At 55.2% G+C, this 26,044-nt stretch overlaps 1 pseudogene, besides 3 other annotated features; it reads left to right on the top strand.

The window, feature by feature from the left end:
• On the top strand, window positions 10,253–25,738 carry ADAMTS7P4 (ADAMTS7 pseudogene 4; annotated as a pseudogene).
• Window positions 18,318–18,875: an enhancer, noted in NCBI's record as "H3K27ac-H3K4me1 hESC enhancer chr15:85805463-85806020 (GRCh37/hg19 assembly coordinates)". NCBI's record gives its function as "activates a minimal SCP1, AML or CMV promoter by ChIP-STARR-seq in primed H9 embryonic stem cells {active_cell/tissue: H9 hESC(primed)}" and the evidence as "EXISTENCE:reporter gene assay evidence [ECO:0000049][PMID:30033119]".
• Window positions 20,485–20,985: an enhancer, noted in NCBI's record as "H3K27ac-H3K4me1 hESC enhancer chr15:85803353-85803853 (GRCh37/hg19 assembly coordinates)". NCBI's record gives its function as "activates a minimal SCP1, AML or CMV promoter by ChIP-STARR-seq in primed H9 embryonic stem cells {active_cell/tissue: H9 hESC(primed)}" and the evidence as "EXISTENCE:reporter gene assay evidence [ECO:0000049][PMID:30033119]".
• Window positions 20,986–21,486: an enhancer, noted in NCBI's record as "H3K27ac-H3K4me1 hESC enhancer chr15:85802852-85803352 (GRCh37/hg19 assembly coordinates)". NCBI's record gives its function as "activates a minimal SCP1, AML or CMV promoter by ChIP-STARR-seq in primed H9 embryonic stem cells {active_cell/tissue: H9 hESC(primed)}" and the evidence as "EXISTENCE:reporter gene assay evidence [ECO:0000049][PMID:30033119]".

The raw sequence follows: 26,044 nt of genomic DNA, 5'->3' as shown, positions 1-26,044 counted from the left end.
GCAGTTCTCATCTCACCACCTTCCTCACCAGACGTGCTAAGTTCCATTTTGCAACATGGGCAGTCTAGGTTTTGTCACTTGGTTTTTGAGCATTGGTTTTCTTTTTTTGTTTTTTTGAGACGGAGTCTCTCTCTGTCGCCAAGCTGGAGTGCAGTGGTGCAATCTCGGCTCACTGCAACCTCTGACTCCCTGGTTCAAGCGATTCTCCTGCCTCAGCCTCCTGAGTAGCTGGGGTTACAGGCACGGGCCACCACACCCAGCTAATTTTTATATTTTTAGTAGAGATGGGGTTTCACCATGTTGGCCAGGATGGTCTCCATCTCCTAACCTCATAATCCGCCCGCCTCGGCCCCCCAAAGTGCTAGGATTGCAGGCGTGAGCCACTGCACCCGGCCGAGCATTTGTTTTTAAAACAGAAATGCATTTTTTTGAATTAGCGTGGACCCAATTCTGGCATATAGAATAAAGTCTATAGAAATGTAAAGAAACCCTTCTTTTTTCAAAATTCTTGACATTGGAAGAAGTCAAACCTCATGGAATGCTCTCAGTGTCTTTTACTGCAAACCCCAGCTTCTTCCTGGTGATTCTCACGTTCTCGCCTCTCGTGTCCACTTGGTAATCTGACGTTTTAGTTTGGAAATGATTCGGGAACCTACTCAACCACTACTTGTAAATGCTGCTTTTATGAAAACAGTCATTCTTCCTTGCCTGTGTCACCACAAAAGTTCTAGCTTGGTTTCTTTTTCCATTTCCCCTTCATTCTGCACACTTTGCTGAGGCTGCTGTATTAGTCTGTCTTGCACTGCTATAAAGAAATACCTTTACATGGCCAGAGCCAGAGGAAGGTGGGGGGCATGCTACACACTTTTAAATAAACAGATCTCGTGAGAACTCACTCACTATGCGGTACCAAAAGGGGATGGTGGTAAACCATGGGAAACTGCCCCCATGATCCAATTACCTCCTGCCAGCCCCCACCTCCAACATTGGGGATTATAACTGAACATGAGATTTGATGGGGACACAGATCCAAACCATATCAGTTACCTTTCAATAAGAAGATCTAGTTGTATTAAGTGGGAAACTATGAAATTGCCAATATCCAACCTCTCTTGACCTACAAAAATTTGCGGTCTAACAGAAGTCACCATGACACTGCTACCTAGCTCTTGAGTCTGTGTTGGCCTCTCATGACAATGGGTTTTTGAGAAGACATTGCTGTATTTTGTTTCCTATTCGCTTCCTTAGGATTAAATAAGTGGGGTGGTATCCAGAATCTCATGTCCCATCGATGTCATTTGCTGGGTAACCAACAGCAAAGATCAGATATTTACCTCTGACATGCAATGTTCAAATGAAATAGTAAAATGTCTCTATGTACATGTTTTATGCCTCTTTATAATATCAATTGAATTCTATCCTTTCTGAAGTCACTACACCATTTCTCCCAGTATAAAATTGTCTATGAAATCTCAGAGTTGGTTCTGACACTACTAATTTTGAGTTGAGTGACCTTAGACAAACCACCTACTTTTTAAGCTTCACTTTTCTCATATAAAAGTTAGGCATGTTAATAATAGTTAACTCATCAAGCTTTTCTGAAAATTAAAATAAAAGTGCATATAATGTGGTAAATAGGGTGACTCACACCTACTGAGTGCTCCATGGAGTACATTGTACATTTTAAAATAACTCAAAGAGTGAGATTGGGTTGTTTGTAACTCAAAGGATAAATGCCTAAGGGGATGGATACCCCATTCTCCATGATTTGCTTATTTCACATTGCATGCCTGTATCAAAATATCTCATGTACCCCATAAAAATATGTACCTACTATGTTCCCAAAAAATTTTTTTAAAAGAAAAAAAGTATTAAAATTTGTTTTTAATTATTTATTTATTTATTTACTTGGAGTCAAAGTCTAGCTCTGTCCCTGAGGCTGGAGTGCTGTGGCCCAATCTTGTTGGCTCACTGCAGCCTCTGCCTCCCAGCCTCAAGTGATCCTCCCACCTCAGCCTCCCAAGTAGCTGGAACTACAGCCGCGCTGCCGTACCTGGCTAATTTTTGTATTTTTTGTAGAGACAGGGTTTCACTATGTTGCCCATGCTGTTCTTGGCCTCCCAAAATGCTGGGATTACTGCTGTGGGCCACCATGACTGGACTTTTTTTTTTTTTTTTTTTTGAGATGGAGTCTCGCTCTGTCACCCAGGCTGGAGTGCAGTGGCACGATCTTGGCTCACTGCAAGCTCTGCCTCCTGGGCTCACACCATTCTCTTGCTAGCCTCCCAGGTAGCTGGGACTACAGGCACCCACCATCACGCCCGGCTAATTTTTTGTATTTTTAGTAGAGACAGGGTTTTGCCATGTTAGCCAAGATGGTCTCGATCTGCTGACCTCGTGATCCGCCCACCTCAGCCTCCCAAAGTGCTGGGAGATTACAGGCGTGAGCCACCGCTCCTGGCCCATGCCTGACCTATTTTTATAGACACAAGTTCTTGCCGTGTTGTCCAGGCTGGTCTCAAACTCCTGGACTCAAGTGATCCGCCCACCTTGGCCTCCCAAACTTCTAGCATTACAGGTGTGAGCCACTGCGCCCAGCCTGTTTTTATAGAGACAGGAGTCTTGCCATGTTGCCCAGGCTGGTCTTGAACTCCTGGCTTCAAGCAATCTTCCTGCTTTGGCCTCCCAAAGTGCTGGGATTACAGGCATGAGCTACTGTGTCTGGTCTAAAGTCTTTATTGATAACATTTTGAGTGATACTGATTAAAATATAAAAAAGTTTTACCATAGATATTTGCGTTAGCTTTTTTATTGTTGTATAACAAAATACCACAGCATAAAGGCTGAAAAATAACACATATCTCACAGCTGCACACAGTTTAGCTGGGTCCTCTTCTTAGGGTTTCACATTGCTATAATCCAGGTGTCAGCTGGGGCTGCAGTGTGTCTCATCAAAGGGCCAACTGGGGAAAAAGACTGACTTCCAAGCTCCCTCAACGTGGCTGGCAGAATTCATCTTTAACTGTAGGACTGAGGTCTATTTCCTTGATGACCTTTGGCTCTGAATTGGGAGCTGCTCTCACCTAGGGACTGCCTGAAGCTCCTTGTTGCCTGGCTTATCTGTAGACTGTCTTACAACATGGCAGTTTGCTTCTTTAAAGCCAGCAAGGGCTTCTCCAGTCTGCTAAGATAGTATCTTATATAGAACATAACACAGGAGTGACATCCCATCGCTTGTGCTATATTCTTTTGGTTAGAAACAGGTCAGGTCTCCCATCCCAGCACTTTGGGAGGCCGAGGTGGGCGGATCACTTGAGGTCAGGAGTTCGAGACTAGCCCGGCCAACATGGTGAGCCCCCATCTCAACTAAAAACACAAAAAAATTACCCAGGCGTGGTGGCTAATCCCACCACCTGTAATCCCAGCTACTAGGAAGGCTGAGGCAAGAGAATCACTTGAACCTAGGAGGTGGAGGCTACAGCGAGCTAAGATCGTGCCACTGCACTCCAGCCTGTGTGACAAAGTGACACTTCATCTCAACGACAACAACAACAACAGCAACAACGAAAAGAAGTCAGGTCTTGCCTACTCTCAAGGTAAGGGGATTGTATAGGGTATAACGGGTGATGCATGAAGATCACGGGGCCCATCTTAGAATTCTGCATACTATAGTATTCTAATAATCTCTAATAGATGTCCAGTAATCTCTAATAGATGTCTAATAATCAGCAGAGAATATTTTCAGTTTTATCTTCATTGAGTACCATTTTTTTAGATTTATAACTAATAAAACATTATTTTTATATTAATTACATTTCCTTCGCTTTCTTGTGAGGGTTTAGAAATTAGTCTATACATTTATCCTGGGCTGTATTTTTCTGTGGGCTTTCTAGGGTGTGATGTGTGTACACAGAGTTTACACCCACCTCACTGAAACCGTTTTTTTCCCTTGCAGCACTGTAAGGGCTGTGGTAACATAGGCTGGACACGGTGACTCACACCTGTAATCCCAGCACTCTGGGAGGCCGAAGCAGGCAGATCACTTGAGGCGAAGAGTTTGAGACCAGCCTGGGCAACATTGTGAAACCCCGTCTCTACTATAAAAGTACAAAAATTAGCTGGGCGTGGTGGTGTATGCCTATAGTCCCAGCTACTCAGAGGTTGAGGCAGGAGAATTGCTCGAACCCAGGAGGTAGAGGTTGCATTGAGCTGAGATCGTGCCACTAAACTCCTGGGTGACACAGCGAGACTTGGTCTAAAATAAATAATAATAATAATAATGAAACAAACAAACAAACAACATAAAGGGACTTAAATTCTTAACTCTTGGTTTAATGTTACTTGACTTCCAAAGACTAACAGATTAGTCATATATAGTGCCGGTGCAGGTATGGGGAAACTGGCACTCAAGTTGTTAAGTTTAACTGGTACTTTCAGTTCCGATGTGTAGTTTGGCAGCATATCAAAATTAAGAATTTGCATTTGCTTTGATCTAGCAATTCCATTTATAAGGATTTATCCTACAGAAATATGTGGTTAAGAATATTCAAAGCAGAATTGTTTAATGTCAAGTAAGTAGAAGAAACCTAAATTTTCATCAGTGCTATCGATTAGATATCAAGTCACTGATGCAACGGAATTTTACATAGTTGATTAAAAGAATGAGGCATGGCTGGGTGCAGTGGCTCACGCCTGTAATCCTAACACTTTGGGAGGCCGAGGTAGGAGGATCACCTGAGGTCGGGAGTTCGAGACCAGCCTGACCAACATGGAGAAACCCTGTCTCTACCAAAAATACAAAATTTTTGGTAGAGCATGGTGGCCTATGCCTGTAACCCCAGCTACTCAGAAGGCTGAGGCAGGAGAATCACTTTAACCCGGGATGGGGAGGATGTGGAGAGCCAAGATTGCACCATTGTACTCCAGCCTGGGCAACAAGAGAGCAAAATTCCATCTAAAAAAAAAAAAAAAAAAAAAAAAAAAAAAAAAAGAATGAAGCACATGTATTATGGCCACGAAAAGTTTTCTGTAAGTTTGAAAACTTCAATTTTTTCAAGAGCATTAAAAGAAAAATTTCCTTGTAAATAAAGTAACAGCTTTTTCCTGGTCCATAAAGAAAATACGACCTGGAAAGACTAGATCTTATATTTAAACAAAACAAGGCTTTGATTGTGTTAATACAAAATAAAATATGACAAGGAAAAAATTAATTTTTTGTTAAATTCATTGTACTCAAGTTGGAAATCCTGGCTCCTTTCTTAGATACATACTATCTAATTTTAAGTTGTTGTTGTTGAGACAGGATCTCACTCTGTTGCTCAGGCTGGAGTGCAGTGGTGCAATCATGCTCACTGCAGCCTTGACCTCCTGAATTCAGTGGATCCTCCCACCTCAGCCTCCTCAGTAGCTGGGACTATAGGCATGTGCCACCTAACATTTTGTATTCTTTGTAGAGATGGCGTTTCGCTATGTTGCCCAGGCTGGCCTCCAATTCCTGGACTCAAGTGATCTGCCCACCTTGGCCTCCCAAAGTGCTGTGATTATAGGTTTGAGCCACCATACCCAGCCTCCAAGTTTTAATATAAACATATTTCTTAATTTCACTGTGGAAGGGGTCACATGACAGTAAAAGAATGCTTTAGAAATTGTCATATCTACAATGCATGGATCATTGGGACATCACAAGAAACTTTTCCTGTATTCTATATAGAATACAGGAAAATCCTTATAAAGTTATCTTGAAGTACAGGAGCAATTTCTAACATTTTGGGATTTTTGGCAAAGCACAATGTAGCTTTAATAAGACTAATGAGGACCAGGTTGTCATGTACAGGGACTAGACATCTTAATATCTGTTTTCTGTTGGAGGGCTGGAGGGGCAGGGTACATCCAAGCACTCTGGAATCTGTTTTCCATGTGTGATGTACAGGTTGAAAAGCAGTCTTCCATTTGCACAAACGGAAAGTAACAAAATTGTTTAAATTAACCAGAAGTCTGTAACGAGGTTAAGTAAAGGCTAAATGTTGTCGTTTCTTGTTTATCGTTAGGAACACGTGATGATGGTAGTGCTGGTGATGAGGGTGACTGGGCTCAGAAATGATCATAGGTACACCTAGGTTTTGAGGCCTAATTTTCTTGTTTCTGGAAATGAGGTTAGAAACAAGAGTACTGATCAAAATCTCCCTTGGCTATTACTGTTAATATGGTTTGCATCTAGAATGACACAGAAAGCTCATTACCCACATCTTTTCTACGGCAGTGAGGAAAACAGAGTAAGTTCATGAACACAGGGATTTAGCCTTGGGTAACGAGGAAGGGTATGAAGCAAGGTTACTGACATTTCTAAATGTCTGGAATCCGATTTGAGGCTGGGCACGGTGGCTCATACCTGTAATTCCAGCACTTTGGGAGGCCCAGGTGGGAGGATTGCTCGAGCCCAGCAGTTTGAAACCAGCCCGGGCAACATGGCAAGACCCCGTCTCTGTAAAAAATACAAAACATTAGCCAGGCATGGTGGTGCGCACCTATGATCCCAGCTGCTGAAGAGGCTGAGGTGGGAGGATCGCATGAACCCAGGAAGTTGAAGCTGCAGTGAGTCATGTTCACACCACTGCAGTCCAGCCTGGGCCACAGAGCGAGACGCTGTCTCAAAAAATCAATCGATCGATCAACCCGACTGTGGCAGATGAAAAACTTGGCAGTTTGATTTGGAGCTCATGGAAACTTTCAATTAATCTTTTCCCAGATTTTGAATTTCTAGAGCAAGGAGACTGGCTTTCACAGAGGTTTGGGTTGAATTCAGTTTTCTTCAGAAGAACTTCAGAATGCACTACAACAGGAAAGTCGTATTCTAGATGGAGTCAAGTCAATCTGTTTATATATCAGATATATCTGTGATATACATGTAGCTACTATCTGATTATGTGTCAATTAAATAGATCATAAATGTGGAATGATGGGGACTTTGAGAGATTTGTAACTGAAGCTGCCTTCATGCTTGTTAGAATGGTGGGGTGGAAGAGTTCCCAGTTTTGAAGGAGAAGTACAAGAAGACCCGTAATGGTTAGCAAGATATACAGAACACAGTGGACATAGCAGCACACTTCTCAAGTCAGGTAATCTGGGGCTGAAATCTTGCCTTTCCCACTTATTATGTGATCTTGGGCCAGATTGATTTACTATTTTATTTTTTATTTGTTTTCATTGAGCCTGGGCCTTTCTATGCTGCAGGTTAGTTTTGAACTCCTAGCCTCAAGCTGTCCTCTTGCCTCAGCCTCCCACAGTGCTGGGGTTATAGGACTGAGCCACTGTGACTTGCCCAATTTACAATTTTTAATGGAGGGTGAGGGAGTCATAAGAACAAAAAAGATGGTAAAGGGAATTTGAGGAGAAAACAAATAAAACAACAAGGTACAAATAAAAACTGCCTGAGTTCTTTCTACTGACTCCCTCATAAAAAGGAGATTTTCAGATCGAATGTTTTTGCAGACATTGCCTTTCCTTCCCTACAGTGCTTATTTTTTTCAGCTCCAGGTTCAAGCTCAAAGGCCTAAAGTTTTCCAAACATCTGAAGAAGAAGAAGATTTTTGAGACTGTCCCAGCCTATTACATAAAGGAAACATAACCAAGAATTTTGTCTAAAGGTTTTTATTTGAAACAAATATTTGCACCAAGCAAGAGCTTCTTTTCCCCACTCCAAATTAAAACACAGCGCAACAGGGGCCACATTTATTTGGCAGGACAGTTCCAATATGTGAACATCCTCCTCCTCACTGCCATTGGGGTGACTTGACTCATAAGCAGCTGTTCTTACACAAAATATTAACCCGAACTGCTAGTGTCACACAAAAAGAAGTGGTCTTGACTGTGTATGTGGGCCAGCATGTTCTACAAATGCTGAAAGGTGGGAGAAGCACAAATACAACCCACTCTTTAAAAAAACTAAACAATTCAAAGTAAAACGTTCTATCCCCGCCCCCACCCCCCACCCCCCACCCCCGCCTTCTCCAATAATAAAATGTAGCATCGAGATTTGGTTTGTATCCTGACCATTCACAAAGTGTTGCCCCATGGGACTTGCATCATTAGGGTTATGGATAATCACAGTTCATTTGCTTTGAAGAGACGTGTGTCTACTCCTTCCTCCTCTTCTTGCCTTCATGCTTATGTTCTTTGGGGCGGCTGCTGAGGGTCTTTGAGAGCCACCATGCTGCCTGGCTTCTTCCAAAAAGTTGTCCAAATCAGAAGAATCTTCTTCAAACTGAATGGTCCTTCTCAGCCTCTCGGCCTCTCTGCCTATGGTCTGAACCAGAAAACTCCTTGTCAGGAACAAATCTAGGAAACAAGAGAAAAGACTATGAACTATTTTGTTTTCACTGGTGTAAACACTGAAAAGGAGTTGTACAGCTTGATACCTGTTGGTCTTTATTCTGGTTTCTAGGTCATCACCATACATGCCCTTGTCCAGATTTTTACTGGACCTATAAAAACTCTGGACCATATCTTTACCACCTCTCTAGGCTTGATCATAAACATTATAAATTTCATCTTCTACACCTGCAAATCCACTGTCCATACCCTGTAGAAAAGTGGATGACATTAAATGAAAATATAAACATCAATTATTAAAAGATGAATCTGACAACATTCATGTGAAGAGTAAACTCTTGCTAATTCATTGCTCAAATTTTCCACAATCTGAACTGCGAATCTTAAAAAGGTCTTCACTGGACTACACGTGGTGGCTCACACCTGTAATCCCAGCACTTTGGGAGACCGAAGAGGGCAGATCACTTGAGGTCAGGAGTTCAAGACCAGCTGTGGCGTGGCATACAGAGAGCCAAGCAGCAGTGCATGCTGCCTATGTGAGTGTGGGGCCCAGGGTGCCCTGGGCAATGGGACAGAGGGACCCAGGCAGTCAGCCGATTGCAGGAGCTTGGCTCTGTCCCAGCCCCTGGCTCTTAGAAGTGTCCTCATAATGGTCAGTCTGAGTGTCCAGGCCACCTTGAGTCACTTTCAAGGAGTGTTCTGAGGGCTGACAGGGTCCCCACTGCTGACCCCTTTGCAGAGAGGGGGACACTGAGGCCCAGAGACTGGAGAGACTCAGCAGAGGCCACGTGGCAAAGCAGCTGCTGGCTGGAAGGAGGCAGGAGAGGGCAGTGGGGAAGAGCATGGGCCCTGGACCTTAGATGGCTCAGGGTTCGAATCCCCTCTTCACCCCTTCTCTGGGCCTCCGTTTCCCCACCTGTATAATAGCAGTGCCCATCCAGTAAAGTTGTAGTCAGGGGCAAATGCAGTTTATGCAGGCCAGCCCCTCAGCCCTGCAGCTCATCTGTAGTGGGCACTCAGCAGGAGGGGCTTGGTGGCCTCAGAGGCACAACAAGGGCCTGAGATGAGATGGAGCAGCTGGGAGGATGGGACAGCACTGAAGGGGTGGCCTGAGGTGAGTGACTTCACCTCTCTGGATCTCTGTTTCCCCATCTAAATGGGGGGGGCGCAGGGGGTGTGAAGATCTGGTGAGAAGCAGAGGCCAGTGGTACTGTAGACCGAGGCACTACCCGGCTGATCTTCACTTCAGGTGGCCACCCGGGGCAGGCATGGGGTTCACAGCCGGCCCCACCCAGGGCCCTGCGCTTACCCAAGACTGGCCTGTGCCCCTCCCTGCCTCCTGGCCTCCAGGTCTGAGCTGGGTGGGGGCCAGCGACCCTGGCCTAAATGTGGAGGATTTCAGGAGCTGTGCTCCGTCAGACCTTTCAGCTGGCTGGGGCCCTGGGCGCTTCCTTTAGACCCAGGCTGGGGGTACTGCCACCAGGAGGAAGGCTGAGGACTCAAGGGCTCGTTAGGATGCTGGTGTCATGGGCTGGAGACTCGGATTAGTCCCTCCAGCCAGTGCCAGTCATGCCTGCAGCTTGTCCCAGCTTCTCAACAGCCCTCTGCAGGGGCAGCCCCAACCCCACTTTATACATGAGGAAACTGAGGCCCAGAGGGTGGCCGAAGACTTGTCCACGATCACACAGCAGGTTGGGGGCAGAGCTCAGGCTTCCTGCTGCCACCTCCCCACAGGTCCCTACAGACAGGGAGGGTGTGTCTGGGCCACAGGGTGGGCAACCCAAGGGAGGGAAGCAGCGTGCACAAAGCTGGGCAGCAGGGATCTTGGGGTGTGGGTGCAGGAGGAAGCTGCTTGCTCTGGGCTGTGGCCATGCAGTAGCACTCACTGGGCCCTCACTGGGGTCCACCCCGGTTCTCCCCACAGGCCCAGATACAAAGGCAGATACTGTGTGGGTAAGCGGAAGCGCTTCCGCCTCTGCAACCTGCAGGCCTGCCCCGCTGGCCGCCCCTCCTTCCGCCACGTCCAGTGCAGCCACTTTGACGCTATGCTCTACGAGGGCCAGCTGCACACATGGGTGCCCATGGTCAATGACGGTGAGTGCTGCCTCCCATGGAAACATTGAGACTCAGAGGGCGGCGAGCGGGGTGTGGGTCCAAGGTTACCCTGTGATGCAAGCAGGAGACCCAGTCTCCACCCCAAGCCTGGGCCACTCCCACTGTCCCCTGGGGCTGCTGCTCGCCCCTAGCTCCCCAGTCTGCAGCCTTGCAGATAGCTACCAGCCCAGCCGGAGCCTCCAGCATGTTTGTGCTGCTTGGGAGCCTCCAGCCTGCCATGGATGTGTGTCACGGAGGGGTCTTCCTGGTGGCCTCCATACTCCCGCTCCAGCTGTTGCTGATGACTCTTCTACTTGGGCCCCCAGTGAACCCCTGTGAGCTGCACTGCCGGCCCGCGAATGAGTACTTTGCCGAGAAGCTGCGGGACGCCGTGGTTGATGGCACCCCCTGCTACCAGGTCCGAGCCAGCCGGGACCTCTGCATCAACGGCATCTGTAAGGTGTGCCTGGTTAGGAAGAGGCTCTCCCAGCACTGCCTGCCCCCAGCCCCACTGGCGGGCCCCAGGTTCTCTCCTGGTCCTCCTCGGGCCACCCTCCCCATGCTCTACCATTGGGCTTCCCAGCCCCTACCCTCTATGACCTCTAAGGCAAAGCCCCTACCACGCCTCCTGGCACTGGGGACCCCCCCCAAGTCAGGCCTCGCCCCACTGCGTCTCCTTGGATGCCTGCACCAGCACCGCCCCAGCCAGGAAACCGGAGCCCAGGCAGTGGCTTGACCTCTTGCTGGCTGGCTGACCCCAGGCAGTGGTTTGCTCCCTGATAGAGGGGTTAAATGAGGTGGCACAGGTGACATGAAGGGCTCTGAGCCCCGAAGAGTAGCCCTCAGTGTTTGGTAACAATTTATATTCTTATTTTTAATAACAACGATGGCCTCTCCTCTTTGCCCATGTCTCCAGCCACCTACTTGTCCTTGCTTCTTGCCCTCTAAACCACTGGGGTATCAAGGCCTGGGCTCCGAGGAGGACCAGGAGGGAGGTGCCAACCCCCAGTGCCTTTGACGTTGAAATTCCCTGCACGCGCTGCTCAGGAGCCCGTGGCGTGTCAGATCCCCTGCCTGCCCGCAGGCTTTGCAGAACTCTTCCCTTCTCTTGTCTCTTGTGATGCTCATAACATGCCTTTAAGGGAGGGGTGGGTCTCCCTGTCTCACATCTGAGGAAACTGAGGCTCAGGGAGGTAGAGAAGTTCACCTGGGTCAGAGGCACAGCTGGGGTGGGGCAGGGCCAGAGAGAGGCCTCCCGACCCCCACTCCCAGCTTTCTTCTCCTGACCCTGGCTGGCCCCCGGGGCTGGGGCCACAGAGGGCTGGCCGCCAGCACCAGGGGCCTCCCCTCCTCGTGTGTTGCAGAACGTGGGGCTGTGACTTTGAGATTGACTCTGGCACTATGGAGGACCGCTGTGGCGTGTGCCACGGCAACGGCTCCACCTGCCACACCGTGAGTGGGACCTTCGAGGAGGCCGAGGGCCTGGGTATGGGGTGGGACCACTGTGGGGAGGGGTGTGCTCTTCACCTGGTGGCCCCTTCCCCATCTCCCCCGGGCCCCTGTCCTTGGCCTCGTGGCCCCCACCCAGCCTAGAGATGGCTAAGCAGGGAGGGCTTGCTGGGGTGGATTCTTGCAGGAGTCAGGGGACCCCTGGCCCACACGCAGAGACCTGTCCCCATGGGGAGTCTTCCTGTCCCAGAGACCCCAGGCAGGGCCATCCCGACTTGTGTGTGGCCCCTGGGCCTTTCAAAGAATGGTCGTCTCCTCCTGAATCTTCTGAGACCCCCAGCTCCATGCCCTCACCTCTGGTCTGTTTTGCACATGTTGCTGAAGTACTGACTGTGTGCTAGGTGATGAGGACATGCAGGTGAAGCGCTCAGTCCTGAAGGGGGACAGAACCTTCTGGTGTGATCAGTGCAGTGGAGGGAGGCCCAGAGGGCTGTGGGAGCACTGAGGAAGAAGGTCCTGGCCTGGGGAAGTCAGGGAAGGTTTCCTGCAGGAGGCGGAAGTTGAGCTGAATCATAAAACTCAGAAGAGATGGAAGGGGCATTCCAAATGGAGGAAAGAGCTTGCGCCAGAGCCCTGGAGGCAAGAAGGGAAGGCAGGGCCAGCTATGGGGCCTTGAGTGCCAGGCTGAGAAGCTTAGATTTCATCCCAGAGATGCAGTGCAGTGTGGTGGATAAAGCACTGGCCCTGGAGGCTGCTTATATTGCAGCAGGATGCTCATGCACGTTACTCTCCCTGTCTGCCTCACTTTGCTCATCTGTAAAATGGGGTTAACAATAGTACCATGCTATAGGGCCGTCACCCATGAGCTTACACATGTGAAGTGCTGAGAGTAGTGCCCGGCACGTGATGGGTGTGATGGAAGTGAATGAATAAAAGCAGGCTGCGTGGGGATGAGGAGGGTGTCCCAGGAGAAAGGCCTGGGCACTTTGGTTTTTTTTAGAAAGAGAATGCCAGCCGGCCCTTAGAGTAGGGGATGGATCCAGCCTTATGATGAGACCAGTTTAGGTCCCCAAGAGAGGAGTGACGGGGCATGGCCACGGGGTCAGGATTTGTGGCACCTCCGCAAGGTTTTGGTGACCCATGACAGATCCGAGCAATTTGGGGAGCTCAGACTTTAAAGCTAATGGCAAAATCTTTGGCATCAGCAGGCGGAGGCAAGTGGGGAGAGATGTGAGGGGAGCAGGTGGGGATAAGCAAGCTTCTCACCCCAGGCACAACCCTTGCCTGACAGGGTATGTGGACGTGGGGCTGATCCCAGCCAGCACACGTGAGGTCCGCATCCAGGAGGTGGCTGAGGCTGCCAACTTCCTGGCACTGCAGAGCGAGGACCCGGAGAAGTACTTCCTCAATGGTGGCTGGACCATCCAGTAGAACGGGGACTACCAGGTGGCAGGGACCACCGTCACATACGCACGCAGGGGCAACTGGGAGAACCTCACGTCCCCGGGTCCCACCAAGGAGCCTGTCTGGATCCAGGTGCCTGCCTCCCGAGGCCCAGGCGTGGGGAGCAGAGGCGGAGTCCCCAGGCCCAGCACCTCCCATGGTAGGTCTCGTCCTGGAGGAGTGAGCCCTGGGTTAGTCACAGAGCCTGGCTCTGAGCCAGACCCTCCTGCTGAGGCCTCTACCTCGGTTTCCCCATCTTTAAGATGGCCCAACTGTGTAGCTGCAGTTCACAGAGGTGGCTGGGGTCAGCTCCTTTAAGACTGGGTGGATGGAGAAGACACCTCGTGCTCACGGGCCCCCGCCTGCCCACCCAGCTGCTGTTCCAGGAGAGCAACCCTGGGGTGCACTACGAGTACACCATCCACAGGGAGGCAGGTGGCCACGGCGAGGTCCCGCCGCCCGAGTTCTCCTGGCACTGTGGGCCCTGGACCAAGTGTACAGTCACCTGTGGCAGAGGTGAGAAGTGGGGCAGGCACAGCCCCGCCAGCAGGGGCTTCATCTCTGGACAGGGACACCGGCTTCAGCTCCCAGCTCACTGCTGGGCCACCATGGGTTTAGAAGTTTGCTTCTCTGAGCCTCAGTTCCCCATCTGTGAGATGAGGCTAGCAACCGCCCCATGTCCCAGGCCCACTGGGAGGGTAAATGGATGAGGCAGGTGGGTGCTGGCTCGCGGCGTGTGCTCAGTGTGCTGCAGCTCTTGGCGTTCTCCCTCCAGTGGACACAGCTCCCCCTTGATTTTGTCCTTGCTCAGCTCCGGCAGGTTTTGTGCCTGCATTTCTGCTGCGTCCCGGAGACCAGCCCAGGCCCCTCACCACATGACTTATTTCCCTGAACTATTTATGAAAAGTAGGGCAATTTCATTAACTCCGACTCTTCCTCCCCATATTTCCCTCAGTCTCCCCCCATGCTCCTCAGTCTCCCCTCTCTGTCTCTTTGTCTCCTCCCCACTGCTCCTCAGTCTCCCCTCTGCCCCTCGGTCTCCTCCCATACTCCTCAGTCTCCCCCCATGCCTCTCAGTCTCCCCCCATACCCCTCGGTCTCCCCCCATACCCCTCGGTCTGCCCCCATACCCCTCGGTCTCCCCCCAATATCCCTCAGTTTCCCTCCGGCCCTCCAGTACCCCCGCCACGCCCCTCAGTCTTCCTCCCCCGGCTCGGTCTCCCCCGCCATTCCTTGGTCTCCCCCCAGCCCCCCAGTCCTCCCCGACGCCCCTTGGTCTTCCTCCCCCTGCTCGGTCTGCCCTGCTGTTCCTCGATCTCCCCACACCTCAGTCTCCCCCTTTGTCTCTTAGTCCTCCCCTTTCCCCCTCAGTCTTCCCATCGTTGACACTCAGTATCCTCAGGGTCTCAGAATCGGGAATCTGATATACAGACGTTTGAGCATTCCTTCAAATGCTATTATGATGACAAAGTGAAAATGGAGAACTGGGCAGTTACCTTCCAAAGCTAGGAAACCCATTTTATCTAATACAGCTGTCTTTATTTTATTTTATTTTGTTTTATTTTATTTTATTTGAGATGGAGTCTCACTCTGTCGCCCAGGCTGGAGTGCAGTGGCGCGATCTTGGCTCACTGCAGCCTCCGCCTCCCAGGTTCCAGCAATTCTCCTTCCTCAGCCTCCCGAGTAGCTGGGATTTACAGGCACGCACCACCATGCCTGGCTAATTTTTTATTAGTGGTAGAGATGGGGTTTCACCATGTTGGCCAGGCTGGTCTTGAACTGCTGACCTCAGGTGATTCGCCCGCCTTGGCCTCCCATAGTGCTGGGATTACAGGCGTGAGCCACTGTGCCTGGCCTAATACAGGTGTCTTTAATTGGACAAACGTGAAAACCAACAAATACATTTGCAGCACTAGACATTTGGGGAATTGCCTTTCAGCAAATTGGCTGCTTCGCAGGTGGACCACTTAGGAGCGTCTGCAGAGGCAAGTGCCCTGTGGTGGCTGGAAGAGACAGGGGTTCTTTGTCTCAGGCAGGAAGTCCCAGGTGCACAGTCCAAGCTGGCGGGACCTGGAGCTGACTGGCCCTCAGCCACACCATCCTTGCCATAGCAGCCTCCCCTCCACTCCTGCTTGCCACAGATGGTGTCCTCCCTTCCAGGGCTCTTGCAGTATTCTAGGCAAGAAGGAGAGAGGAAAGGGCTGACTCCCAGCGAGGGACTTGTGCCTTTTTCTCCTGAGCCAGGACTGTGTCCCAGACCCCCCTAGTTGCAAGGGAGCGGCAGTGGGGTGTGTTTTCAGCAGGTCCCACTGCTGCCTTGAACAAAATCAGACTCTGTTGGTGAGGAAAGAGGGGGATGGATTTGGGACTGGCAGCTCAGGGGAGGGACAACTTACTCTCGGGACCACGGGGCAGGGGGTGGAGCAGAGAAGGCAGAGCCACCAGCAGACGGGGTCCTGCAGCTGGGCCTCAACAGGCAGTATGGAAGTGAGTGTCCAAGGTGAGGAACGTGGCTGTGCAAAGTCCCCAGGTTGGACAGTGGCAGAGGATGTAAAGGACTGGAGCAGTGCCAAGGCTGGTGTGGGGATGGAGAGCAGGGGCTGTCCATTGATGCCCCATTTCTTGTCCAGACATTCTCTGAGCCGTTGGGAAGGGTGTGGATGGTGGGACCGTGTGTCAGTGGCCCCTGGACACACTGGGCCCTGAAGGCTCAGGCAGCGGCTCCTCCAGCCATGAGCTCTTCAATGAGGCTGACTTCATCCTGCGCCACCTGGCCCCATGCCCTTCACCCGCCTCATCACCCAAGCCAACCCCAGGAAGGAGCAGAGGGAGCTGGTCTTTCATTCTCTTCCCAAGGCTGAAGCCCCAGCCCCCGGTCACCCCTCACTCCAGCCTGGGCCACCCTGGACACTTATGGTCCTCCTCTTTGGGTCCCTGGATGTGGAAATAGGCCTCAGGTCACGTTCAGTTTCCCTGAGGGGAAGGTGGCAGGAGCCACGGCTGGGTTTGCATGCTAGCAGCAGCTGGCATGGATCGAGCTCTTAGGATGTGCCGGGCACGGGCCGAGCCTGCACATGCAAGAACACATGCAGTCCTCCCTCCAGGACATGGAGGAGGCAGGATTGTCGCTCCCACTTCACAGAGGAGGACGCTGAGGTTCAGAGAGGCCAAATGAGCTGCCCAGGCATCTCAGCTAGGATGCAGAGGGTCTGGGCACCCAACCCACTAAACCTCCACACTCTGCCACCCCTCCAGGGGCAGTCAGAGGGGAAGCTACATAGGAGAGGGGGTGGGTGAGAACCGGGAGGACAGCAAGGAGGCGACGGTGGAGGTCTGCCTTCATCCTGACATGGGCAGTAAGGCATCCTGACATGGGCAGTAAGGCGCTGTTCTGGGAGGGTTCTGGCAGAGAGGGTGTCTTTGGGTCTTGGGCGGTGGGCACCTGGGTGCCAGTCCCAGGCTGAGCACCATGGCCCCTAGGTGTGCAGAGGCAGAGTGTGTACTGCTCGGAGCGGCAGGCAGGGCCCGTGGACGAGGAGCACTGTGACCCCCTGGGCCGGCCCGATGACTGCCAGCGGAAGTGCAGCCAGCAGCCCTGCCCTGCCAGGTGAGCCCGCCCCCATCCCCCACCAACTCCCCACCCCCAGGCATCCTGGGTCTGCCACAGGCCCCTACATCTGGGTCCCCGGAGGCCCTGGGGAGGAGCAGAGGGAGCCGGGCTTTCATTCTCTTCCCAAGGCTGAAGCCCCAACCCCCGGTCACCCCTCACCCCAGCCTGGGCCAGCCTGGACACCTATGGTCCTCCTCTTGGGGTCCCTGGATGTGGAAATAGGCCTCAGGTCATGCTCAGTTTCCCTGAGGGGAGGGTGGCAGGAGTGGAGGGGCTGTGCCTTGTCACCAGACTTTGAGGGCAGGACACTTACCTGAGCTTGGAGCTCTGGAGAATCATCCACTGGCTTCTGGCACTGCCCAAACCCCGAGGGCCTGGAAACCCAGCCTGGCCCTCCCTGCTGGTGAGCCTGCCAATGCCACCTGTCTGATGCCATACTGATGACACCTGTGTGCCCTCAGCAGGTGGTGGGCAGGTGAGTGGCAGCTGTGCTCCAGCTCCTGCGGGCCTGGGGGCCTCTCCTGCCAGGCTGTGCTCTGCATCCGCAGCGTGGGGCTGGATGAGCAGAGCGCCCTGAAGCCACCCGCCTGTGAACACCTTCCCCGGCCCCCTACTGAAACCCCTTGCAACCACCATGTGCCCTGTCCGGCCACCTAGGCTGTGGGGAACTGGTCTCAGGTGAGTGTGGGATGGGAAGGTGCCCGCCTCCAGCCCCACCCTTGGTCTTCAGCTACAGGGAGGCAGACAGCCTTCCTGGAGACCTTGTGGGTGGGAGGGAACCTGGGCATTCCAGGGTCCAGCCCCTGACTCTAAAGCCTCAGGGATCAGGAAGCCCCTGGCAAGCATGGCCACAGTCATGGCCTTGAGCTGGGAAGGGCCAGAGAGGGCTGGCTGGGGTCTCTGCCACTCTGACATCAGGCAGTGGACAGGTTACCCAGCCTTGCCCCAGTGTCCCCTGGCAGCCTGCCTCCCAGGCTAAGCCCCTCACCCTGGCTTCCCCTGCAGTGCTCAGTGACATATGAGGAAGGGACTCAGCACCGAAATGTCCTCTGCATCAGTGACACCGGTGTCCCCTGTGACGAGGCCCAGCAGCCAGCCAGCGAAGTCGCCTGCTCTCTGCCACCCTGTCGGTGGCCCCTGGACACACTGGGCCCTGAAGGCTCAGGCAGCGGCTCCTCCAGCCACGAGCTCTTCAACGAGGCTGACTTCATCCCGTGCCACCTGGCCCCACGCCCTTCACCCGCCTCATCACCCAAGCCAGGCACCATGGGCAACGCCATTGAGGAGGAGGCTCCAGAGCTGGACCTGCCGGGGCCCGTGTTTGTGGACGACTTCTACTACGACTACAATTTCATCAGCTTCCACGAGGCTCTGTCCTACGGGCCCTCTGAGGAGCCCGATCTAGACCTGGCGGGGACAGGGGATCGGACGCCCCCACCACACAGCCGTCCTGCTGCGCCCTCCACGGGTAGCCCCGTGCCTGCCACAGAGCCTCCTGCAGCCAAGGAGGAAGGGGCAACGGGACCTTGGTCCCCGAGCCCTTGGCCTAGCCAGGCCAGCCGCTCCCCACCCCCACCCTCAGAGCAGACCCCTGGGAACCCTTTGATCATTTCCTGCCTGAGGGAGACACCCCCATAGGGGCCCCAGATCTTGGGCTCCCCAGCCTGCCCTGGCCCAGGGTTTCCACTGATGGCCTGCAGATGCCTGCCGCCCCTGAGAGCCAAAATGATTTCCCAGTTGGCAAGGACAGCCAGAGCCAGCTGCCCTCTCCATGGCAGGACAGGACCAATGAGGTTTTCAAATGATGAGGAACCCGAGGGCTGCGGAGCACCCCACCTGCCCCCGAGACCCAGCCCCACGCTGCCCACTTTGTACCCGGTCAGCAGCACCCACTCCTCTCCTAGTCCTGACGTGGCGGAGCTGTGGACAGGAGGGACAGTAGCCTGGGAGTCAGCTCTGGAGGGTGGCCTGGGGCCTGTGGATAGTGAACTGTGGCCCACTGTTGGGGTGGCTTCTCTCCCTCCTCCTCCCATAGCCCCTCTGCCAGAGATGAAGGGCAACGACAGTCCCCTGCAGCCGGGGACTCCCACCTTCCCAACCCCAGGACCAGGCTTATGGGACCTTCAGACTGTGGCAGTGTGGGGGACCTTCCTCCCCACAACCCTGACTGACCTCGGGCACACGCCTGAGCCTGCCCTGAACCCAGGACCCAAGGGTCAGCCTGAGTCCCTCAGCCCTGAGGTGCCCCTGAGCTCTAGGCTGCTGTCCATGCCAGCTTGGGACAGCCCCGCCAACAGCCACAGAGCCCCTGAGACCCAGCCACTGCCTCCCAGCCTGGCTGAAGCGGGGCCCCCCACGGACCCGTTGGTTGTCAGGAACGCCGGCTGACAAGTGGGAAACTGGAGCGAGGCAAGTGGTGTGGGCTGGGCGGGCAGGGAGTTTGCGCAGGACCTTGGTGACTATTTCCTCATCTGAAAATGAGCAGAGTGGGACGCAGGCGCCGTCTGTCTCGCCTTCCTTGGGGCGGGGGTTCCCAGGATTAGGGGAATGAGGGGACCTGGGGCCCATTCCTGGGCAGCACAGGGGGCCTCAGGGAAGGCAGGGGCAGGCACACTCTGGCAGCACAGCATGCCCCAGGATGGAGCTGGCTCAGACAGCTGTGCAGTGGGGAGGGTCCCTGTGTGGCCACCAGGCCCAGTCCTGCCCAGCAGGCAGCAGCTTCCCTGAGGCTCTGCCTGGCTCCTCCAGGCTGGACTCAGCCCACTGCTACCTGGCTCTGCCCTCAGTGGCTCCACCCTCCTTTGGCAGTGACCTGCAGACGTCTGAGCTGCATGAAAGAAGCTGGCTAGTGCCCCCTCCCTGGGTCCCCAGATGGTCACTGCAGGAGAAGCAAGCTTCTGTTCAGATTCCTAATTTTGGGGTGGGAAGGGGCAGGCTGAGGCCCACAGGGCTTGTTTTGCGCGGGGACAGGCAGCGATTTGGCTGCTGGTACCAGGACCCAGCCTTCCTTCCCTGGTGCCTCTGGGAAGCGACGAGGCTGGTCAGGATAGCTGGTCAGGGGTGCCCACAGGGTCTCCTCCCCCGAACCTCTGCACCAATGACACTGGCACACAGGCCCTTTGTCCCATGTGAGCAGGGACGGCTGGTTGCTGGGGGGATTTGACTTTTCATTCTCATGGTCTTCCTGGGAGGTGGGTGGAGGAGCCTATTTTGCAAATAAGGAAACTGAGGCCCAGAAGAGGGCCCCTGTCTTGCTGAGGTCTTGCTAGCCTAGGTGGGTAGTTTCCTGGCTGTGGAGGCCTGGCGAGGATGGGCTCTGCCTGGCTTTCACGGGTCTGTGCCCCGCAGTGCTCCACCACCTGTGGCCTGGGTGCCCTCTGGAGGCCGGTGCGCTGTAGCTCCAGCCGGGATGAGGACTGCGACCCCGCTGGCCGGCCCCAGCCTGCCCGCCGCTGCCACCTGTGGCCCTGTGCCACCTGGCACTCAGGCAACTGGAGTAAGGTGCATGAGGATGGAGCCAGGACAGGCATCCCCAGGGCATGGGGTGGAGCCCTGGTTCCCCACGGCCTGTGTTCCGAGAGCGGCAGGGAAGGGGAGGGCTCCAGGCTGCATGTCTATGTGCCTGATCGCACCGGATTCCGAATCTCTTGGGAGTCATCTCATCTTTGTCTGGCTTGGCCTGTCTCCTTTCCTCTGTATCTTTGACCCCATCTGGACTTGTTCCTCCCTTTCTCTGTCTGTCCCAGCCCATGGCAGCCCCTGGCCATGCCACCTTTTGCCTGGGGCCTGCCAGCCTTGGCCTCTCGCTGGGGCTCTTCAGGGATTTGCCCCCGGCTGGGGCGTGGGTCTGATGCCTTTCCTGCCACACGCCTCACGGGGTCACGCCTGTGGGCCTGCACGTGGGGATGTGTCCACACAAGTCTCTCGGTCCCCAGTGCTCCCACAGCTGTGGCAGAGGTTCCTCAGTGTGGGACATGCAGCATGTGGACACATGGGCCCTCTGGCCACTGTGGCCCTTCCATTGTCAGCCTGGACCTGCCAAGCTGCCTGTGCACTGGCCCTGCGGGGCCCAGCCCTGCCTCAGCTGGTACATGTCTTCCTGGAGGGAGGTGAGGCCTGGGCGTTGAGTTGGGGGGAGGGGACACCCTCAGACCCTGGCTGTGCCCTGACTCCTTCCCTGCCCACCCAGTGCTCCGAGGCCTGTGGCGGTGGTGAGCAGCAGCGTCTGGTGACCTGCCCAGAGCCAGACCTCTGCGAGGAGGCACTGAGACCCAACACCACCCGGCCCTGCAACACCCACCCCTGCACACAGTGGGTGGTGGGGCCCTGGGGCCAGGTGAGCCAGGCTGCGGGGGGGAGCAGGGAGCAAGTGCTTGGTAGCGCCTGGTCAGTCCTGGGTTGGGTGAAGGAGCTGTGGAGTGTGTGCTGTGAGCCAGGCTGTCTGTGGCCCCTGCACATGCAGCAGTCACTGGACAAAGCCCTGCCATGCTGGTGCTCACACCTGACAGGGAGAAACAGACAAGGAAAGGGCATGTGTGCTGTGATGTCAGGGAAGGCCTTCCGAGGAGGGGTCTGGGGTTGAGACCCGAGGGAGGAGTCAGTGATGCCAAGGACAGGGATCGAGGGGACAGCAGGTGTGAAGTCTGAGGCAGGAATGATGAGCTTGGGGAGATCAGGGAGCCCAGCAAAGGCCAGCGGCAGAAGGGGGCAGAAGAGGGGCCTCGTATGGGCAGGACACCTTCTGCTGGGCCTGTTTGGAACTGAGGGGTTCAGAAATCTCAGATTTGGGCCCTGAGCTGGGTCCGGGAGTCAGCTGGGCCAGCGTTTGAGTCTGTCCGACTGGCTGCTGAGTGACTCTGGGCAGGTTGCTTTGCTTTGCTGGGTCAGTTTTCTCATCTGTAAAATTGGGACGCTTTGGGAGAGGAGGGTCAGGAGGATTAAATGGAGGAACGCAACAAAGCACAGGGCCGGGCACAGCACGACACTGGCACAGACTCAGCACATGTTTAGGGCTTTCAGACCTGCACCTGTTAACAACAAAGCCTGGCGGGCTGGGCCCCGGCTGTGAAATTGTCTCCACCCCTCCTGCCCATGGGCTGCGGCAGGTCCTCTGCCCTGTCCCTCGGGCACAGCGGTGTCTCGCCCACGTCTCTGCTCACTGCTGCATCAGGGCTCCATCCCGGGGCCCCTGCCCAGGCCTCTCAGGCATGTCCCGTGTGAGGGGCTCACTGCCCTGCCGCCCCAAGGGCTGTCCCATGGTTCTCATGCCCCTTCCCTCTGCAGCAGCCGATCCCACAAGTGAGAGTGGGGTTCCAGCACCAAGTGGGCTCTAGGAATGGGAACAGGTCCTCCAGGAGGCACTGAGAGGGCGGCTGGGAGCAAGGGCAGACCAGTCAGGCACAGGGCGCAGGGACGGCTTCCCAGAGGAGGTGTCCCTGCCCCCACTGCTAGGGCTGGCCCTGGAGACACTCATTCCTCCCCTGCTCCCCCCCAGTGCTCAGGCCCCTGTGGTGGTGGCATCCAGTGGTCACACACTGGTCAAGTGTGTCAACACCCAGACGGGGCTACCCGAGGAAGACAGTGACCAGTGTGGCCACGAGGCCTGGCCTTGTGAGCTCCCGGCTGTGTGGCACCGAGGATTGTGAGCCCGTCGAGCCTCCCCGTGAGTCCCCCGACCCCAAGCTCTCTGCTGAAGTGAGGTGGGGCGGGAAGGGTGATGGGGAAATTGGGTCTTCAAACCATTGCACCCACGGCACCGGCTGGCTCCATCTGTAGTCTGGGCTCAGGAGCCACTGAAAATCCTGATGCCACAGGATCCCATGCTGGAGGCTGGGCTGTGCTGGGAGTCAGTCAAGAGAAGTCCCAGCTACACAACATCCCGCAGGCAGCTTTCTGACCTCCAGTGAGTAGAGGGAGTGGCCTTGGCCCCTGATTTGCTGTGTGAACCTGGGTAAGCTCTTTCCCCTCTGGGTCTCAGTCTTCCCACAGTGAGACCGGGGATGTCCCTGAAGCTGTGTGAAAACTGGGCCTGGGTGAGTCCCTGTCCCCTCCCCAGCCCTGGCCTGTCCATTCCCTGGCCAGAGGACTGCCTAGAGTGAGCAATGGAACCACAGGAAGGGCCTCCCTTCCAGGGTCCTGCTAATCCCAGTGGTGGGGGGTTTCCTGGCCAGCTGGGTCCTGGTGGAAGGGCCTGAGCTAGAGGTGGTTCTGGATATCCCAACCCCCCACCTCCAACACACACACACACACACACACACACACACACACACACACACTCACACACTTCCTGCAGCCCCAGCTGCTCTCAGCAGTGCTGAGGGCAGGAAATGGGGTGGCCCTGGAGTGTCACCTGGGCTCCCCTCACCAGCTGTGTGGCCTTGGGCTCCATTTCCCTCTCAGGGCCTTCATGTGCTGAATAAAGGGGCTGCCAAGCCCCATCCTTGCATAAGTGAGGTCTGGGCATGAAGGGCACAGCACTGCGTGGGGATCCAGGTGGTGCTCAGGGAAGGCGGCTTTTTCCCCTCCCCCAAAGCCACTGTCATCCCCAATTGCAAGGTCAGGGAGAGGGCCTGGGGCTGACCCTGCCAGTCTAAGGAATCCAGGAGCTGTGGCCTGAAGAGCTGCGGCCCCTGTGCTATTGGCTGTCTGCCCCCTGACCCTAGGACAGAGTCCTCAGCCACGGCCCTCAAGCTGGCATTCGGGGCCCCCTGCAATCTCCCCAGTCTGCCTTCTCCCCTTGTCCAATGCAGCCTTCTCTACCTGCGCTGGCTCCTGGGCAGCCCTCATTTGGGCTCAGAGTGGCCCCTGCCATGCCTCGCTGCCATGCCTTGCTACCCTGCCTCTGGCAGGGGTGGCCTTCCTGCCACAAACCCCATTACCTCAAGGCCAAGTGGCAGTGCCCCCACCCTGTCCTGCCTGCCCTCAGCACGCACCCAGCCAGCATCTCAGAGCACTCCTGTGTGCTGCCTGAGCTGGGTGCTGGCATCACATCTCTCGCCTTCATGGCTAGAGCTGGCCACAGGGAGTGGGGTGGTTATGATCCCAGGGGATGAGGACCAGATGGGGCAGAGAACAGGAACTGAGGCCCCTGGGGGCCTAGAACCAAGGACGGATGGCCCAGGAGGCTCTGGGCTTGCAAGGTCTCCCAGGGGCGGGTATGAGTGGGCTGCAGGGAGTGGGCTATGGGGGCTGGTTAGGTGGCTGAACTAGAAGCTGTCCCAAGTGAGGAGTTTTCTGCCACCAGTGAACAGTGGAGGGGCAGCTGGGAAGGTGTCTTGGACTTTGAGACCTGGAATTCCCAGGATGTTTTGCTGGTCTGTGGGACAGTTGGCGGGACAGGGGGAAAGCCGGGAAACTCCAGAGTGTGCAGTCGCTGCAGTGACACAGCATGGCCACATCCATTTGCTGTGGAGGTGGGGTTGACAGAGGAGGGAACCGAGGCCCAAGAGGTGAAGCAGCTTGTCTGAGGTCACCCCGGGCGACCAGGATGCAGGCCTGCAGATGTGCACTTTGGAGCTCTGCCTGGAGCTGGGGTGGAGGAGCCTGCCTGCGGCCTCGTGCCCTCTGCCGGGCCTGAGGGGTGTCCCTGGCACAGGGCTGGCTGCTGTCCTCCCGCTCTTCCTCCCCAGGGAGGTCTGCTGGAGTAAGCAGGGCCCAGGGGGCAGGTGGGGGCTGTCAGCAGTGGCAGTGGCATCAGGAGCAAGGCCAGGAGGCTGGAAACAAGCCACTTCCCAAAATAGCTCTGATAACCACGGGGCAGGAGGGCCCAGCCAAGCCTCAGCCCTGACAAGCACAGCCTGCAGCCGGCCTCCCTCCCCACTGGGCCTGGGCTTAGTCCCTGGTTTCCGCTGACAGCCTGTAGGGCCCACTCTCTCTAGGCTTCCTGGCCCACCTGGGAAGTGGGAGGCTGGCCTGGGAGATGCGACCTGTGACTCAGAACCCGAGGCTGTGTACAGCCCCTGTGGCTGGAGGTGGTCACGGAGGTCTGGCAGGACAGATGCACTGGGGCAGGGGGCGGTGGCGGGAGTCGGGGGCAGAGGCCGCTGCAGGTTGGCAGGAGGCCCCGGGACCGCAGTTCTGTGCCAGGATCTGTCGGGGAACACCAGGGGTGAGCAAGGATGGAGATGGGATGGCAGGGCGTCGCCCTGGGCAGGCTCTTTAACAGTCATGTGAGGGGGTCAGGGTGGGGTCTCAGGACCTTTCCTCCAGAAACCTCAGCCCAGCAGCGCCCGTTCTCGAGTCCTGGGGTCGGCCGTGAGTAGGTGGGACAGAGACACCAACAGTTGGAGACCTGCAACTCCGGTTTGGGAGCCGCTCCAAAAACCGGGGCTCTCTGCTTGGTGGGGAGCTGCTGGAGCCTCCTTAAGGTGGTTGGGGTGGGGAGCCAGGTTCTGGGTACCCCAAACCACTGGTTCTGATGCCTCTCTGACCCCCCACTCCAGGCTGTGAGCGGGACCGCCTGTCCTTCGGGTTCTGTGAGACACTGCGCCTACTGGGCCGCTGCCAGCTGCCCACCGTCCGCACCCAGTGCTGCCGCTCGTGCTCTCCGCCCAGCCACGGCGCCCCCTCCCGAGGCCATCAGCGGGTCACCCGCCACTGACAGTGCCAGGATGCACAGACCGACCGACAGACCTCAGTGCCCACCACGGGCTGTGGCGGAGCTCCCGACCCCTACGCCCTAATGGTGCTAACCCCCTCTCACTACCCAGCGGCAGGCTGGGGAGCTCCTCCCCCTCGAAAAAGGTATTTTTTTATTCTAACAGTTTGTGTAACATTTATTATGATTTTACATAAATGAGCATCTACCATTCTAAAGCACAGTGTGACTTCATCTTGGATTTGGGGAATCTTAAAAGTGAGAAACTCTTCCCCCGACCCCTCTGCCCAAAACTCCACCGCTGCAGCACCTCGGCAGGTGCGGCTTTTCACCTGCTCCTCTGGGGCAGATCTGCAGGGGGCAGCGTAGCAAACGAGTCCCTGAGAGCATGGCATCTGGTGAGGCACGGAAGGCCTCGGAAGCCGGGGGGCTGCTGCCCAGGGAGGCCTGTCTGCAGAGGGTGGGGTTCTGGGGGCAGGAAGGTCTTCTGGGCAGGGGCACAGCTTGGCCCTTACTTGCTGCCT

This window comes from Homo sapiens, chromosome 15, assembly GCF_000001405.40.
Source record: "Homo sapiens chromosome 15, GRCh38.p14 Primary Assembly".
In the NCBI taxonomy this organism is placed as follows: Eukaryota; Metazoa; Chordata; class Mammalia; order Primates; family Hominidae; genus Homo; species Homo sapiens.
The sequence above is the reverse complement of the archived record's forward strand: the minus strand, read 5'-3'. Positions and strand labels throughout refer to the sequence as shown.